Source organism: Homo sapiens, chromosome 5 (assembly GCF_000001405.40).
Source record: "Homo sapiens chromosome 5, GRCh38.p14 Primary Assembly".
Classification (NCBI taxonomy): domain Eukaryota; kingdom Metazoa; phylum Chordata; class Mammalia; order Primates; family Hominidae; genus Homo; species Homo sapiens.
The window spans coordinates 177764040-177780287 of record NC_000005.10 but is presented as its reverse complement, the minus strand read 5'-3'; the positions used below and the strand labels follow the sequence as shown (position 1 = coordinate 177780287).

The following is a 16248-nucleotide window of genomic DNA, read 5'->3' as shown; positions in this document are numbered from 1 at the left end:
TTCTTATATTTAACTTCTTTAGTTTGGAATTAAGAGTTATTTAAGAAGGTAGTTGTAGCTGATTTATAATCTCAAACAGTATTATCTGAAAAAAAATCATTTACTTAATTATGATCCCGAAAATCCTATATAATATTTATGTTTTCTCTATAGTCACATTGTAACAAATTGGACTTGTTATACATATGGATCTTCTAGTTCATTTTTGTAATAAGTTGTTTATTTTTATAATAAATTGTTTATATTTAGTAAATACATAATTACACTTGACCCATGAATAATGTGGGGGTTAGGGGCTCTGATTCCAGTGCAGCTGAAAATCTAAGTATAACTTTTGATTTTCCCAATTTAGCTACTAATAGCCCACTATTGACTGGAAGCCTTCCTGATAACATAAACGGTCGATTAACACCTATTTTATTTGTGCTGCATTATTATATACTGTGTTCTTACAATAAAGTAAGCTAGACAAGTGAAGCTGTTAGAAAGAAAATCTGCAGGAAAAATATATTGACTTTTCATAAAGCGTAAATGGATCCTCACAAAGGTCTTCATCTTTATCATCTTCAGGTTGTTCAGGCTGAGAAGGAAGAGAGGTTGGTCTTGCTGTCTCTGGGTTGCAGAGGCAGAAGAAAATCTGCATATAAATGAACTCCTGCAGCTCAAACCCTTGCTGTTCAAGGGTGAACTGTATTACCTGTTAATTTGTGTCACTAAGGAAGTATCTTTAGAACCGGGAACTCAACAATCCCTTTCTCGTAGAATAAATAAATGGCAGTAAGAACTGTAAAAGTGAACCAGTGTGCACCCATACGAATAGGAGATTATTTTTTGAAGATACCTACTGAGTGCAGAAGACAGAAAAGCAATTCCTTTGTGAGAAGCACAAGTTATGTTACATATTCTTACATAAGCAAAATGGTTTTATCTGTCATAGTTTACACACACACGTGCACATACACACATGTGCGTTCGGGTGCGCACACACACACACACACGCACACAAAGTTAAAAGTCCTGCTGATTGTTAATGACCAAATCCACTGCTTGCAGGGAGTAGTGGATAACACAGCCTACAGCTTGCATGCAATTCTTTTGGCTTTTTGACTTGTTCTGTGATGAACTGCCTTGAATGGGTCAACCATATTTTAGTTTTATAAGAAATGAAAAGATTAGAAGCAAGTAAAAGGAACTCTATGATCAGTAGTTATACTATTATACTATATTCAATGGTTATGTTTTTTTCCAGTTATGCAAGTTACTTGAATGATGCACAATTAATTTATTATCATTATTATAAGAGATGGGCTCTCTCTATGTTGCCCAGGCTAGAATATGGTGTCTATTCAGTGGTACAGTCATAGCTCACTGTAGCCTGGAACTTCTGGGCTCAAGCAGTCGTCCCACCTCATCCTCCTGAGTAGCTGGGATTGTAGCTATGTGTAGTTACATCTAGCTGGATACACAATCATTTGTTTATTTATTTATTCATTTTTATTATTATTATTTTTTGAGACAGGTCCCCCTCTGTTGCCAGTACTGGAGTGCAGTGGTGGGATCTATCTTGGCTCCCTGCAACTTCTGCTTTCTGGCCTTAAATGATTCTTTCACCTCAGCCTCCCAAGTAGCTGGGACTACAGGCATGCCCCACCACACTTGGCTAATTTTCCTTTTAAGGTTTTTTTTTTCCTCACTATATTGCCCAGGCTGGTCTGGAAGTCTGGAACTTCTGGGCTCAAGTGATCCTCCTGCTTTGGCCTCCCAAAATGCTAGGATTTTATGGATGTGAGCCACCACACCTGGCCTGCACAATTATTATAAAAAGGAATTAAGCCCAGTTGAGTTGCAGAAAATTGACCACCTTTTCATTTTTTTTTTTTTCTAGAAACATTCATATTGTAGAACATATTGTCAATCATCAAGATTCCCTATTTTTTATTCTGGTAAAACTAGGATTGCTGCTTATTTCCCATTATTTTCTAACAATTGCTTCACTTATTTCTTTTTTTTTTTTTTTTTTTTTTTTATTATACTCTAAGTTTTAGGGTACATGTGCACATTGTGCAGGTTAGTTACATATGTATACATGTGCCATGCTGGTGCGCTGCACCCACTAATGTGTCATCTAGCATTAGGTATATCTCCCAATTCTATCCCTCCCCCCTCCCCCGACCCCACCACAGTCCCCAGAGTGTGATATTCCCCTTCCTGTGTCCATGTGATCTCATTGTTCAATTCCCACCTATGAGTGAGAATATGCGGTGTTTGGTTTTTTGTTCTTGTGATAGTTTACTGAGAATGATGGTTTCCAATTTCATCCATGTCCCTACAAAGGATATGAACTCATCATTTTTTATGGCTGCATAGTATTCCATGGTGTATATGTGCCACATTTTCTTAATCCAGTCTATCATTGTTGGACATTTGGGTTGGTTCCAAGTCTTTGCTATTGTGAATAGTGCCGCAATAAACATACGTGTGCATGTGTCTTTATAGCAGCATGATTTATACTCATTTGGGTATATACCCAGTAATGGGATGGCTGGGTCAAATGGTATTTCTAGTTCTAGATCCCTGAGGAATCGCCACACTGACTTCCACAATGGTTGAACTAGTTTACAGTCCCACCAACAGTGTAAAAGTGTTCCTATTTCTCCGCATCCTCTCCAGCACCTGTTGTTTCCTGACTTTTTAATGATTGCCATTCTAACTGGTGTGAGATGATATCTCATAGTGGTTTTGATTTGCATTTCTCTGATGGCCAGTGATGATGAGCATTTCTTCATGTGTTTTTTGGCTGCATAAATGTCTTCTTTTGAGAAGTGTCTGTTCATGTCCTTCGCCCACTTTTTGATGGGGTTGTTTGTTTTTTTCTTGTAAATTTGTTTGAGTTCATTGTAGATTCTGGATATTAGCCCTTTGTCAGATGAGTAGGTTGCGAAAATTTTCTCCCATGTTGTAGGTTGCCTGTTCACTCTGATGGTAGTTTCTTTTGCTGTGCAGAAGCTCTTTAGTTTAATTAGATCCCATTTGTCAATTTTGTCTTTTGTTGCCATTGCTTTTGGTGTTTTGGACATGAAGTCCTTGCCCACGCCTATGTCCTGAATGGTAATGCCTAGGTTTTCTTCTAGGGTTTTTATGGTTTTAGGTTTAACGTTTAAATCTTTAATCCATCTTGAATTGATTTTTGTATAAGGTGTAAGGAAGGGATCCAGTTTCAGCTTTCTACATATGGCTAGCCAGTTTTCCCAGCACCATTTATTAAATAGGGAATCCTTTCCCCATTGCTTGTTTTTCTCAGGTTTGTCAAAGATCAGATAGTTGTAGATATGCGGCATTATTTCTGAGGGCTCTGTTCTGTTCCATTGATCTATATCTCTGTTTTGGTACCAGTACCATGCTGTTTTGGTTACTGTAGCCTTGTAGTATAGTTTGAAGTCAGGTAGTGTGATGCCTCCAGCTTTGTTCTTTTGGCTTAGGATTGACTTGGCAATGCGGGCTCTTTTTTGGTTCCATATGAACTTTAAAGTAGTTTTTTCCAATTCTGTGAAGAAAGTCATTGGTAGCTTGATGGGGATGGCATTGAATCTGTAAATTACCTTGGGCAGTATGGCCATTTTCACGATATTGATTCTTCCTACCCATGAGCATGGAATGTTCTTCCATTTGTTTGTGTCCTCTTTTATTTCCTTGAGCAGTGGTTTGTAGTTCTTGAAGAGGTCCTTCACATCCCTTGTAAGTTGGATTCCTAGGTATTTTATTCTCTTTGAAGCAATTGTGAATGGGAGTTCACCCATGATTTGGCTCTCTGTTTGTCTGTTGTTGGTGTATAAGAATGCTTGTGGTTTTTGTACATTGATTTTGTATCCTGAGACTTTGCTGAAGTTGCTTATCAGCTTAAGGAGATTTTGGGCTGAGACGATGGGGTTTTCTAGATAAACAATCATGTCGTCTGCAAACAGGGACAATTTGACTTCCTCTTTTCCTAATTGAATACCCTTTATTTCCTTCTCCTGCCTGATTGCCCTGGCCAGAACTTCCAACACTATGTTGAATAGGAGCGGTGAGAGAGGGCATCCCTGTCTTGTGCCAGTTTTCAAAGGGAATGCTTCCAGTTTTTGCCCATTCAGTATGATATTGGCTGTGGGTTTGTCATAGATAGCTCTTATTATTTTGAAATACGTCCCATCAATACCTAATTTATTGAGAGTTTTTAGCATGAAGGGTTGTTGAATTTTGTCAAAGGCTTTTTCTGCATCTATTGAGATAATCATGTGGTTTTTGTCTTTGGCTCTGTTTATATGCTGGATTACATTTATTGATTTGCGTATATTGAACCAGCCTTGCATCCCAGGGATGAAGCCCACTTGATCATGGTGGATAAGCTTTTTGATGTGCTGCTGGATTCGGTTTGCCAGTATTTTATTGAGGATTTTTGCATCAATGTTCATCAAGGATATTGGTCTAAAATTCTCTTTTTTGGTTGTGTCTCTGCCCGGCTTTGGTATCAGAATGATGCTGGCCTCATAAAATGAGTTAGGGAGGATTCCCTCTTTTTCTATTGATTGGAATAGTTTCAGAAGGAATGGTACCAGTTCCTCCTTGTACCTCTGGTAGAATTCGGCTGTGAATCCATCTGGTCCTGGACTCTTTTTGGTTGGTAAACTATTGATTATTGCCACAATTTCAGAGCCTGTTATTGGTCTATTCAGAGATTCAACTTCTTCCTGGTTTAGTCTTGGGAGAGTGTATGTGTCGAGGAATGTATCCATTTCTTCTAGATTTTCTAGTTTATTTGCGTAGAGGTGTTTGTAGTATTCTCTGATGGTAGTTTGTATTTCTGTGGGATCGGTGGTGATATCCCCTTTATCATTTTTTATTGTGTCTATTTGATTCTTCTCTCTTTTTTTCTTTATTAGTCTTGCTAGCGGTCTATCAATTTTGTTGATCCTTTCAAAAAACCAGCTCCTGGATTCATTGATTTTTTGAAGGGTTTTTTGTGTCTCTATTTCCTTCAGTTCTGCTCTGATTTTAGTTATTTCTTGCCTTCTGCTAGCTTTTGAATGTGTTTGCTCTTGCTTTTCTAGTTCTTTTAATTGTGATGTTAGGGTGTCAATTTTGGATCTTTCCTGCTTTCTCTTGTAGGCATTTAGTGCTATAAATTTCCCTCTACACACTGCTTTGAATGCGTCCCAGAGATTCTGGTATGTGGTGTCTTTGTTCTCGTTGGTTTCAAAGAACATCTTTATTTCTGCCTTCATTTCGTTATGTACCCAGTAGTCATTCAGGAGCAGGTTGTTCAGTTTCCATGTAGTTGAGCGGCTTTGAGTGAGATTCTTAATCCTGAGTTCTAGTTTGATTGCACTGTGGTCTGAGAGATAGTTTGTTATAATTTCTGTTCTTTTACATTTGCTGAGGAGAGCTTTACTTCCAACTATGTGGTCAATTTTGGAATAGGTGTGGTGTGGTGCTGAAAAAAATGTATATTCTGTTGATTTGGGGTGGAGAGTTCTGTAGATGTCTATTAGGTCTGCTTGGTGCAGAGCTGAGTTCAATTCCTGGGTATCCTTGTTGACTTTCTGTCTCGTTGATCTGTCTAATATTGACAGTGGGGTGTTAAAGTCTCCCATTATTAATGTGTGGGAGTCTAAGTCTCTTTGTAGGTCACTCAGGACTTGCTTTATGAATCTGGGTGCTCCTGTATTGGGTGCATAAATATTTAGGATAGTTAGCTCCTCTTGTTGAATTGATCCCTTTACCATTATGTAATGGCCTTCTTTGTCTCTTTTGATCTTTGTTGGTTTAAAGTCTGTTTTATCAGAGACTAGGATTGCAACCCCTGCCTTTTTTTGTTTTCCATTTGCTTGGTAGATCTTCCTCCATCCTTTTATTTTGAGCCTATGTGTGTCTCTGCACGTGAGATGGGTTTCCTGAATACAGCACACTGATGGGTCTTGACTCTTTATCCAACTTGCCAGTCTGTGTCTTTTAATTGCAGAATTTAGTCCATTTATATTTAAAGTTAATATTGTTATGTGTGAATTTGATCCTGTCATTATGATGTTAGCTGGTGATTTTGCTCATTAGTTGATGCAGTTTCTTCCTAGTCTCGATGGTCTTTACATTTTGGCATGATTTTGCAGCGGCTGGTACCGGTTGTTCCTTTCCATGTTTAGTGCTTCCTTCAGGAGCTCTTTTAGGGTAGGCCTGGTGGTGACAAAATCTCTCAGCATTTGCTTGTCTGTAAAGTATTTTCTTTCTCCTTCACTTATGAAGCTTAGTTTGGCTGGAAATGAAATTCTGGGTTGAAAATTCTTTTCTTTAAGAATGTTGAATATTGGCCCCCACTCTCTTCTGGCTTGTAGGGTTTCTGCCGAGAGATCTGCTGTTAGTCTGATGGGCTTCCCTTTGAGGGTAACCCGACCTTTCTCTCTGGCTGCCCTTAACATTTTTTCCTTCATTTCAACTTTGGTGAATCTGACAATTATGTGTCTTGGAGTTGCTCTTCTCGAGGAGTATCTTTGTGGCGTTCTCTGTATTTCCTGAATCTGAATGTTGGCCTGCCTTGCTAGATTGGGGAAGTTCTCCTGGATAATATCCTGCAGAGTGTTTTCCAACTTGGTTCCATTCTCCACATCACTTTCAGGTACACCAATCAGACGTAGATTTGGTCTTTTCACATAGTCCCATATTTCTTGGAGGCTTTGCTCATTTCTTTTTATTCTTTTTTCTCTAAACTTCCCTTCTTGCTTCATTTCATTCATTTCATCTTCCATTGCTGATACCCTTTCTTCCAGTTGATCGCATCGGCTCCTGAGGCTTCTGCATTCTTCACGTAGTTCTCGAGCCTTGGTTTTCAGCTCCATCAGCTCCTTTAAGCACTTCTCTGTATTGGTTATTCTAGTTATACATTCTTCTAAATTTTTTTCAAAGTTTTCAACTTCTTTGCCTTTGGTTTGAATGTCCTCCCGTAGCTCAGAGTAATTTGATCGTCTGAAGCCTTCTTCTCTCAGCTCGTCAAAATCATTCTCCATCCAGCTTTGTTCTGTTGCTGGTGAGGAACTGCGTTCCTTTGGAGGAGGAGAGGCGCTCTGCGTTTTAGAGTTTCCAGTTTTTCTGTTCTGTTTTTTCCCCATCTTTGTGGTTTTATCTACTTTTGGTCTTTGATGATGGTGATGTACAGATGGGTTTTCGGTGTAGATGTCCTTTCTGGTTGTTAGTTTTCCTTCTAACAGACAGGACCCTCAGCTGCACGTCTGTTGGAATACCCTGCCTTGTGAGGTGTCAGTGTGCCCCTGCTGGGGGGTGCCTCCCAGTTAGGCTGCTCGGGGGTCAGGGGTCAGGGACCCACTTGAGGAGGCAGTCTGCCCGTTCTCAGATCTCCAGCTGCGTGCTGGGAGAACCACTGCTCTCTTCAAAGCTGTCAGACAGGGACACTTAAGTCTGCAGAGGTTACTGCTGCCTTTTTGTTTGTCTGTGCCCTGCCCCCAGAGGTGGAGCCTACAGAGGCAGGCAGGCCTCCTTGAGCTGTGGTGGGCTCCACCCAGTTCGAGCTTCCCGGCTGCTTTGTTTACCTAAGCAAGCCTGGGCAATGGCGGGCGCCCCTCCCCCAGCCTCGTTGCCGCCTTGCAGTTTGATCTCAGACTGCTGTGCTAGCAATCAGCGAGACTCCGTGGGCGTAGGACCCTCTGAGCCAGGTGTGGGATATAGTCTCGTGGTGCGCCGTTTCTTAAGCCGGTCTGAAAAGCGCAATATTCGGGTGGGAGTGACCCGATTTTCCAGGTGCGTCCGTCACCCCTTTCTTTGACTCGGAAAGGGAACTCCCTGACCCCTTGCGCTTCCCAGGTGAGGCAATGCCTCGCCCTGCTTCGGCTCGCGCACGGTGCGCACACACACTGGCCTGCGCCCACTGTCTGGCACTCCCTAGTGAGATGAACCCGGTACCTCAGATGGAAATGCAGAAATCACCCGTCTTCTGCGTCGCTCACGCTGGGAGCTGTAGACCGGAGCTGTTCCTATTCGGCCATCTTGGCTCCTCCCCCCACTTATTTCTTTTATGGCTTTAATCAGTTGAGTATAGAAATACAAGAACCTCCAAGTCAAATATCAAGGAAAGAAAAGAAAAACAGATTAGGGAAAGTTATTCTGTGAAATAACCATCTGATTATAGGTCATGTCAACTTAATGAAAACCTTATATAATGCATTTGTGACAAGGGTTCCCAAGACCACCCCCAGGTTTGGTGATTCACTAGAAGGACTCACAGGATTCAGCAAATAATCATATTCAGATCTTTAATTGATTACAATGAAAGAGTACAAGCAAAATGAGAGGGAAAAGGTGCATGTGGTGGTCAAGTCTGGAGGAAACCAGGCACAAGCTTCCAGAAGTTCTCTCCTGTGGAGTTCCCAGGATCTGCTTAATTCCCCCAGCCTCACATTTTGACAACCCATGTGCAGTGATGTCTACCAGTACCAGAATCTCATTAGAGACTCAGTACCCAAGTGTTTTATATGGAGGTTACTCTCCCTCACATGTACCCACATTCCGACCTTCAGAAGGAAAGCAGCTGCTCAGAAGTAACCGCATTGTTTCTATAAACACTTTAGACACGGTGACCAGTCTTAGGGCATGGTGGGAACCCTCCCAATTCCAATTTCCTAAACAACAGCCAAGGGCCAGGCTTGCATGCGGGTCTTTCTGAGGACGGCAGTCTCTCTCCTGCTATATGAAATCTTTCCTGCACAACAGTTTTAGCCCCAACTTAACTTTTGGTGCTGTTTTAAAATTTCATTTTAACAGCAAATAATATTATAAGATAAGGTAACCTGGTACTAGTTTCTCTTGCATGATCCATCCTGTGTTGCAATGCTGGCTACTTTTTTGACTTCTGGTGACTCACAGGTATTTGAATGGAAGTTACCATAGCAATATTAAGCAATTATAATCTGTCCTTCTTATCTCTTTAACCTTTCAGTGAAAGGGTTAAATTGAATAAGCATAATAATTTCTGAGTTAAAATTAGAATAAAAATGGTCTTTTATTTTGATTATGTGAATCTAGTTTTCATGTCGTGCTAAATCCCTGTTTAGAGTTATGAAATAAGATATTCAATCATTTTATCAATATTTTCTTGCCTAAGCTTGCAATTGAATTTATTTGTTTTATGTATTTTCTATACTGCAATTTGAGAAATCATGCCCACATGCTGTTACTTTGGTCTTTAATGATCTCCAATTTTTAGGGTTACCACTGTGTCCTGCTTAAATATATCATAATAACAGATTCAGTGAATATCTTTTATTTTTTATTTTTGTTCTGGAAATCCTGGGATGCACAGACAATGAATATGTTTTTTAAATCAATAACTCTATTTCTTATAGCAGTTTTAGGTTCACAGCAAAATCGGAGGAAGGTACAGAGATTTCTCCTATGTTCCATGCCTCCCACACATGCACGGCCTCCCCCATGATTAGTATTTTCCACCAGAGTGGTACATTTGTTACAACTGATGATCCTACATTGACACATTATAATCACTCCAAGTTCATAGTTGACATCAGGCTCCATTCTTAATACTGTACATTCTGTGAATTTGGACAAATGTATAATGACATGTGTCTATTTATTATAGATAGAACAGTTTCACTGCCCTAAAAATGCTCTATTCTCTGCCTGTTCATCTCTCCCTTTCTCCCTAGCAGCTGCTGGAAACCACTGATCTTTTATCTGTCTTCATAGTTTTACTTTTTTCAGGAGAGTCATATAGTTGAAATAATACAGTGGATATCTTTTTGAATAGTTAAAAAAGTAAAGTTCCATGGTAATTGAATGTAGTCATTTAAGATGTTCTTTGTCCTTTTGTTTTTCTTTAGCTTCTTTGTCTTTGTAAGGTCTGATGACATATGCTTTACATACTTAGGAAACATGATTTGTATAGGCCTTTGCCACATAATGGAAAGGGTTGAGGAAAATGACACCATGCAATACCACACAGCACAAACTGGAGCATCTTGCTCCAGTGAGGTGGGTCCAGATAGACTCCCTAGCAATGGAAGGGGAGAAGCTCAAGAGGTTGTACTTTAAAAAACTGGAATCACAAAGTCTTTCATACTTACCTTGGGTTGGAAATAAGACCAGGCAGTGAATGTTATAGATAAATACATATGTTCCTCACTGATCCTCTTCCTTTGAGGGATGAGTTTGAAAACAGTCTGTGTTATGATGACATGACTCACCTGCAACTAGATTCTGTGTCGTGAGGGACGGCAGTTTTGCTTTGTGTGAGGTGAAAAAGAATTTTTTTCTCCTACTAGGGAAAGGGGCAAGCATTGGAACATTCTGGCAGCAAGAGGGCATTGATAGTTTTCTTTCTGTATATTTTTCATATCATATAGTACTGCCTGGCAGCCTGGCACACCACGCCGGTGTTTCTTAAGCTTCTCTCTGAATGTGAGGCGTGGTTCCGAGTGGATAAGCTCTTAAAGGAGTGATCTTTCCAGTGGTTCTTTCTGTGGGAGGTAAAATGGCAGGTGAATTTGGGCCTTGTTATACGTAGGGCAGAGTATATAGCTACAACTAAGGAAACCACCCAGCACCTTCCCCAGAAGAGTAGTATCCAGAGTAACACATTGAGCTCTCTTGAGCTCTTCTCCACTGGCAGCTGGAAAGTTTTTGCAAGGATCCCTGTTGCTGGTCTGATTCCTATGTTCTGCTGGCTGCTGGTGATAGGGAGTTTTATTCTAAACTGAAAAGTTTTAACTGAAGAGCTAGAGAGGCTGTGTTGTGTTACAACAAAATAAGTGCAGTAGTTCCCCATTAACTATGGGAGATAACGTTCTAAGACACCCCCAGTGAATGCCTGAGACCACAAATAGTACTGAATCACCCACTGGTTTTTCCTACACATACATAACCATGATAATATTTAATGTATAAATTAGGCACAGTAAGAAATGAACAATAAAATAAAAAATTATACTGTAATAAAAGTTACTTGAATGTGGTCTCTTGAAATATATTGCACGGTTCTCACCCTTTTTTTTTTTTTTTTTTTTGGGACGGAGTCTCGCTGTCGCCCAGGCTGGAGTGCAATGCTGTGATCTCGGCTCGCTGCAAGCTCTGCCTCCTGGGTTCACACCATTCTGCTGCCTCAGCCTCTGGAGTAGCTGGGACTACAGGCACCCGCCACAAAGCCCGGCTATTTTTTTTTTTTTTTGGATTTCTTTAGTAGAGGTGGGGTTTCACCATGTTAGCCAGGATGGTCTTGATCTCCTGACCTCGTGATCTGCCCGCCTCGGCCTCCCAAAGTGCTGGGATTACAGGTGTGAGCCACTGCACCCGGCTGGTTCTCACCCTTTTTCTTGTGATGATGTGAAGTGATACAATGCCCATGTAATGAGATGAACTGAGGTGAATGACGTGATCCTAGATAGTCAGGCCTTGATGTTGGCGGCAGGGTACAGGAGGAGACCGTGTTGATGACTAACGGGTGGACAGCATGTGCAGTGTGGGTGCACTGCAGGACGATTCACATCCTGGGCTGGATAGAGGGTGCTGACGGTTTCACTGTGCTTCTCGGAATGGCACACTAAAACTTATGACCTCTTTATTTCTGGAGTTTTCCGTGTATATTTTTGGAATACAGTTGACTATTAGTAACTGTAACCACAGAAATCAAAACTGCAGATGTAAAATCTCTGGATCTTAACTCATTTGTTGGGTACAATTCTTAAAATCCTTAGGATTTCCAAAGTGATGTTTTTTTGTATGCTAATGATCCATGGCTGGAAGCCCCTAGGTAGCTTCAGGATGGGAACTGGTCACCATCCTGAAGACATGATTGATTAGAGTGTTGAGATCTTCTGTCTCATTCAGGAGACTCTGGAGAGGAGAGAAGAGCTGAAGGTTGTCAGTCACCAAAGGCCAGTGATTAATCAGTGATGCCAATATAATGAAGCTTTCATCAAGACCCAAAGTGACTGGGCTTGGAGAGCTTCCAGATGGCTGAATGCATGGAGGCTCCTACAGGGTGGTGTGTCCTGGGAGGGCATGGAATCTCTGTGCCACCTCCCCCATACTTTGCACTATGCATCTCTTCATCTGTATCTTTTGTAATGTCATTCATAGAAAACTGGTAAATGTGTTTCCCTGAGTACTTTGAGCCACTCTAGCAATTCAATTTAACCCAAAGAGGGAGTCCTGGGAACCCCAATTTGAAGACAGTTGGCCAGAAGTTCTGGAGTTTCAGACCTACAACTGATGTAGGGAGGCAGTTTCATGGGACTGAGCCCTTTACCTGTGCAATCTGATGCTATCTGCAGATAGAGTGTGAGAATTGACTTAGAGGATGCCCAGTTTGTGTCATCTGCAGAAATGATTGCTTACTTGTTGGTGGAGAAAAACCCTCCACACGTTTTGTCACAGGAGACTTCTTTGTTGATGATTGTTGCTGTGACGTGACAGCAGAGAAAAACAGGTCAAATGTGTCTTTTCCACACATACAGTGGACAAGGGGTACTACTGTATACTCTGTTTGAACTGCCCGTCATGTTTTGGTCCTGAAATCATGCTCTTTGACACTGTTCATTCATCACACCTGTTCTGCTAACAATACCATTTTTAGTCAATCTCACAGGGTTTGGCTAGGATAACTTGTATACTGCGGTTCACTTGTAGATATCAAATTTTATAAATTTATTCTTCTTTGCATTTAATAAATACAAAGTAAGGGAAGTAAGAGTTCTTACTGCATTAATTATCTACTAATAGGTATAATTAATATTAATTCTAATAAGGTCCCGGTTATGCTCCCAAAGGAATGCTATATAACAAAGCATCAGTCCTATGCTTTAAAAAAGGAAAAGAAAAGAAAAGAAAAAAACATGGTCTGAAGTCTGCACACAAGTGTGCATAACTTTTTTGTGAAGATAGAGTCTTGCTGTTTCCCAAGCTGGCCTCAAACTTCTGGGTTCCTCAAGTGATCCTCCTGCCTCAGCCTCCCAAGTAGTTGGGAATACAGGCATGTATCACTGTGCCTTCTTATGCTTTTAATATTCTATACAATTATTATTGATTTATAATGCAGTATACCTTTTTCTTTAATAGATTCTGGGAGTTCTGATGAATATGCAGTCAGGTAGGATTTTACAGATTTAAAAAAATATGTTAACTAAGGAAATATAGATGGAAGAGATTCATATCTGTTGAGTGTTGTATTCTGGGCTAAACCCCTATTGTGTGCTATGCATTTATCATCCCATAAAGCCATTGCAACATCTGTGTTCTTATAACCTACTGTTTATTACATAGGCAACTGTGGTTTAGAGGTTGATTAATTGGCTCATGACCCCGTAGTTAACAAAGTAGCTGACCCACAGTTAAACCATCAGCCTGTCTGGCTTCCAGATCCCTTATCTTGCTCCTCAGCATAGATTGATAGAAATCTGTGCAGCACTTGGATCAAGGTACACGTCTGAATCAGATTAATTTAGACAGTCAAATCTGGTTGTATGTTAACTCTCATTTAAGGTTATTGTTAGAAATGTGGTTAGTCCAAGAGTTTCTCCTCATAAATTTGACAGTTTCAGTGGTAGCCAATATCTTATTTTACCATCAAAGGCTTTAGGGCAAAGTAAAGGTTTCGCCATAGGATTATAATTTTACAAAAGCAAGATTAGACAAGTCTCAGAAATTATTTGACTTCCCAGTTTGGTTTTCCCTTTAGGCTAGTATTTCTGCTTAATTCCATAATACTTTTTTTTAGACTTTTTCCTTTTTCCATGACATTTCTATAATCCTGTCTTGATGTTGTAAAACTTTCTTCTCTGCTTTTCTTGGTCTTTCGTTATATTATTTTTTCAAAATCTGCTGACTATGTATTCCCAGTTTTCTTATAGACAGAATCAAAAGCACATAGAATTACAGAATTTTAAGGAATCATAGGACCAATTAAAATAACCTCTAGTACTTTAACCTGTGTTAAACATTCTGGTCAAGTGTTTCTCTAGATAGAGAACGTGAGACTCAAAGAGATTAGGATAGTTTTTTTATATATAGGAAGTGGCAGAAAGGAGATTTCAACTCATTTTGAAGCTCAGTACTTGTCTTTCTTTTTTTTTTTTATCCTATTGGCATGTTTTTCTGTTTGTTTTTTGTTTTATTTTGTTTTTTTGAGACAGTCTCTCTCTGCTGCCCAGGCTGGAGTGCAGTGGCACAATCTTGGCTCAATGCAACCTCTGCCGCCCGAGTTCAAGCGATTCTCCTGCCTCAGCCTCCTGAGTAGCTGGGATTACATGCACTTGCCACTACACCCGGGTAGTATTTGTATTTTAAGTAGAGGTGGGGTTTCAGCATCTTGGCCACGCTGGCCTTGAACTTCAGACCTCGATCCACTCGTCTCCACCACCCAAAGTGCTGAGATCACAGGCAAGAGCCACGACGCCCGGTTTGGCATGTGTTTTAATAATACAAAGTAGGTCGGGGCACAGTGGCTCACAACTGTAGGTCCTCATTTGCATGAGCTAAGTTTTTCATAGCAATCAAAAGCAAAGCAAGCCCAGGTGTTCGCCATTCTCCTTAATGGCATCAAGCCCAGGGTTTGAGAGCCGTTTTCATTGGCCCCAGATGACCTGTTCATACCTGTCTTCATTGTGCCCAGCTCGGGGCTTCAAAGCTGGCTTCATCCAGGCCTGCAAAGGTGTTCACAGTGGTCCTCATCTAAGCCAGCCAAGGTGTTCTCTTACCATCCACACGATAGCCAGCCCAGATGTCCCTAGCCGTCCTCATCGAGGCCAGCCAGTTTGTTCACACTCGTGCTTATTGGGGCCAGCCACCTTCATAGAGGTCGTCTCAGGTATTTACAGGCATCCTCACTGGGGCCAGCCCATGTGTCCACAGCTGTCCTCAGTGGGCATAGCCCGGGTGTTCATAGTTTTCCTCACTGGACTTAATCCAGGTGTTCCGAGCAATTCACATGGTCCCAGGCCAGGTGTTGACAGGTGTCCTCAATGGGGATGGCCCAGATGTTCACTGTTGTCTTTATTAGGCCAAGTGCAGATGCCCATAGCTGCCTCACAGGGCTCAGCCAAAAGGAACAAGGCTGTTCTCCTGAGCCCACATCAGGTATTTATAGCTTTCCACATTGGGGTCAGCCCAGGTGTTGGTAGCCATGCATTCTGGGCCAATCCGTTATTCCAAGCTGTTTCCTTGGGCCCAGCCCAGGTGTCCACAGCCATCCTCATTGGTCCAGCACAGGTGTTCAGAGCTATCCTCCTTGGCCCCAGGCCAGATGTTGACACTCGATCTGACTGGGCCCAGACCGGGTATGCAAAGCTGTCTTAACTGGGAGCAGCCCATGCTTTCACAGCGGTCTTCACTGGTGTCAGCCAGGTTTCTCAGAACTGTCACTTGGCCGAACCTTGGTGTACATTGCCATCCCCATGGAGCACAGCTCAGGTATCCATAGCCATCCTCACTGGGGCCAGCTGAGGTGTTCCCAGCCATCCTCATTTGTCTCAGTGCAGGGGTTCACAGCTGTCCTCACTGGCTGAGCCTAGTTGTTCCTCGCAATCATTACTTGAGCAAGACCAGGTGTTCATGGCTGTTCTAATTGGGGGCGAGCCCAGGAGTTAATGGTGCTCCTCATCTGGGCCAGCCCAGGTATTCACAGCCATCCTCATCATGATCAGTTTCAGTGTTCAAAGCTGTCCTCCTGAGGCCAGCCTGGTTGTTCACTGCTGCTTTTACTGGGCCCAGCCCAGGTTTTCCCAGCTTCCCTCACTGGGGCTAGCGCAGGTGTTCACAGCTTTCCTCATTGGGCCCAGGCCATGGGTTCATAGCCATCTTCATCAGGCAAAGCCAAGGTGTTCACAGCCATTTTTTCCGGGTCCAGCCGAAGTCGCCCTCACTTGGGCCCAGCCCAGGCGTTAATAGTCGTCATCAGTGGGATTAGCCCAGTTGTTCACAGCATCTTTCTAGGGCTGAGTTTAGGTGTCAAGAGCCATTCGTCTTGGGCCCAGCCAGCTGTTCATAGGCATCCTCATGGGGACAGGCCCAAGTGCTCACAGTGGCTCTCACTGAAACCAGGGCAGGTGTTTTTGGCTGTCTTCATTGGGCCCAGCCTAGACATTCATAGCTGTGCTCAAGGCGACCAGCCACGATGTTAACAGCTGTCTTCAGGGCAATCGTCCCCGGTGCCACAGCTGTCCTTATTGGCTTAGCCCAAGTGTTCTCAGCTGTTCTCGTTGG

The 16248-nt window shown here is 41.9% G+C and overlaps 1 protein-coding gene across 9 annotated transcripts in view; it reads left to right on the top strand.

Annotated features, from left to right (window-relative positions):
- FAM153A (family with sequence similarity 153 member A) overlaps positions 1–16248 on the top strand; it is an 89179-nt gene that overhangs the window by 3138 nt on the left and 69793 nt on the right. For 5 of the 9 annotated variants that reach the window (XM_017009364.2, XM_017009365.2, XM_017009363.2 and 2 more), the window contains exon 3: positions 13108–13138. The exons of the other annotated variants lie outside the window; for them this stretch is intronic. In XM_017009364.2, the coding sequence (XP_016864853.1) occupies positions 13123–13138 (16 nt within the window). In that variant the 5' untranslated portion in view covers positions 13108–13122. The remainder of the gene's footprint in view (positions 1–13107; positions 13139–16248) is intronic. 9 annotated transcript variants of the gene reach the window in all.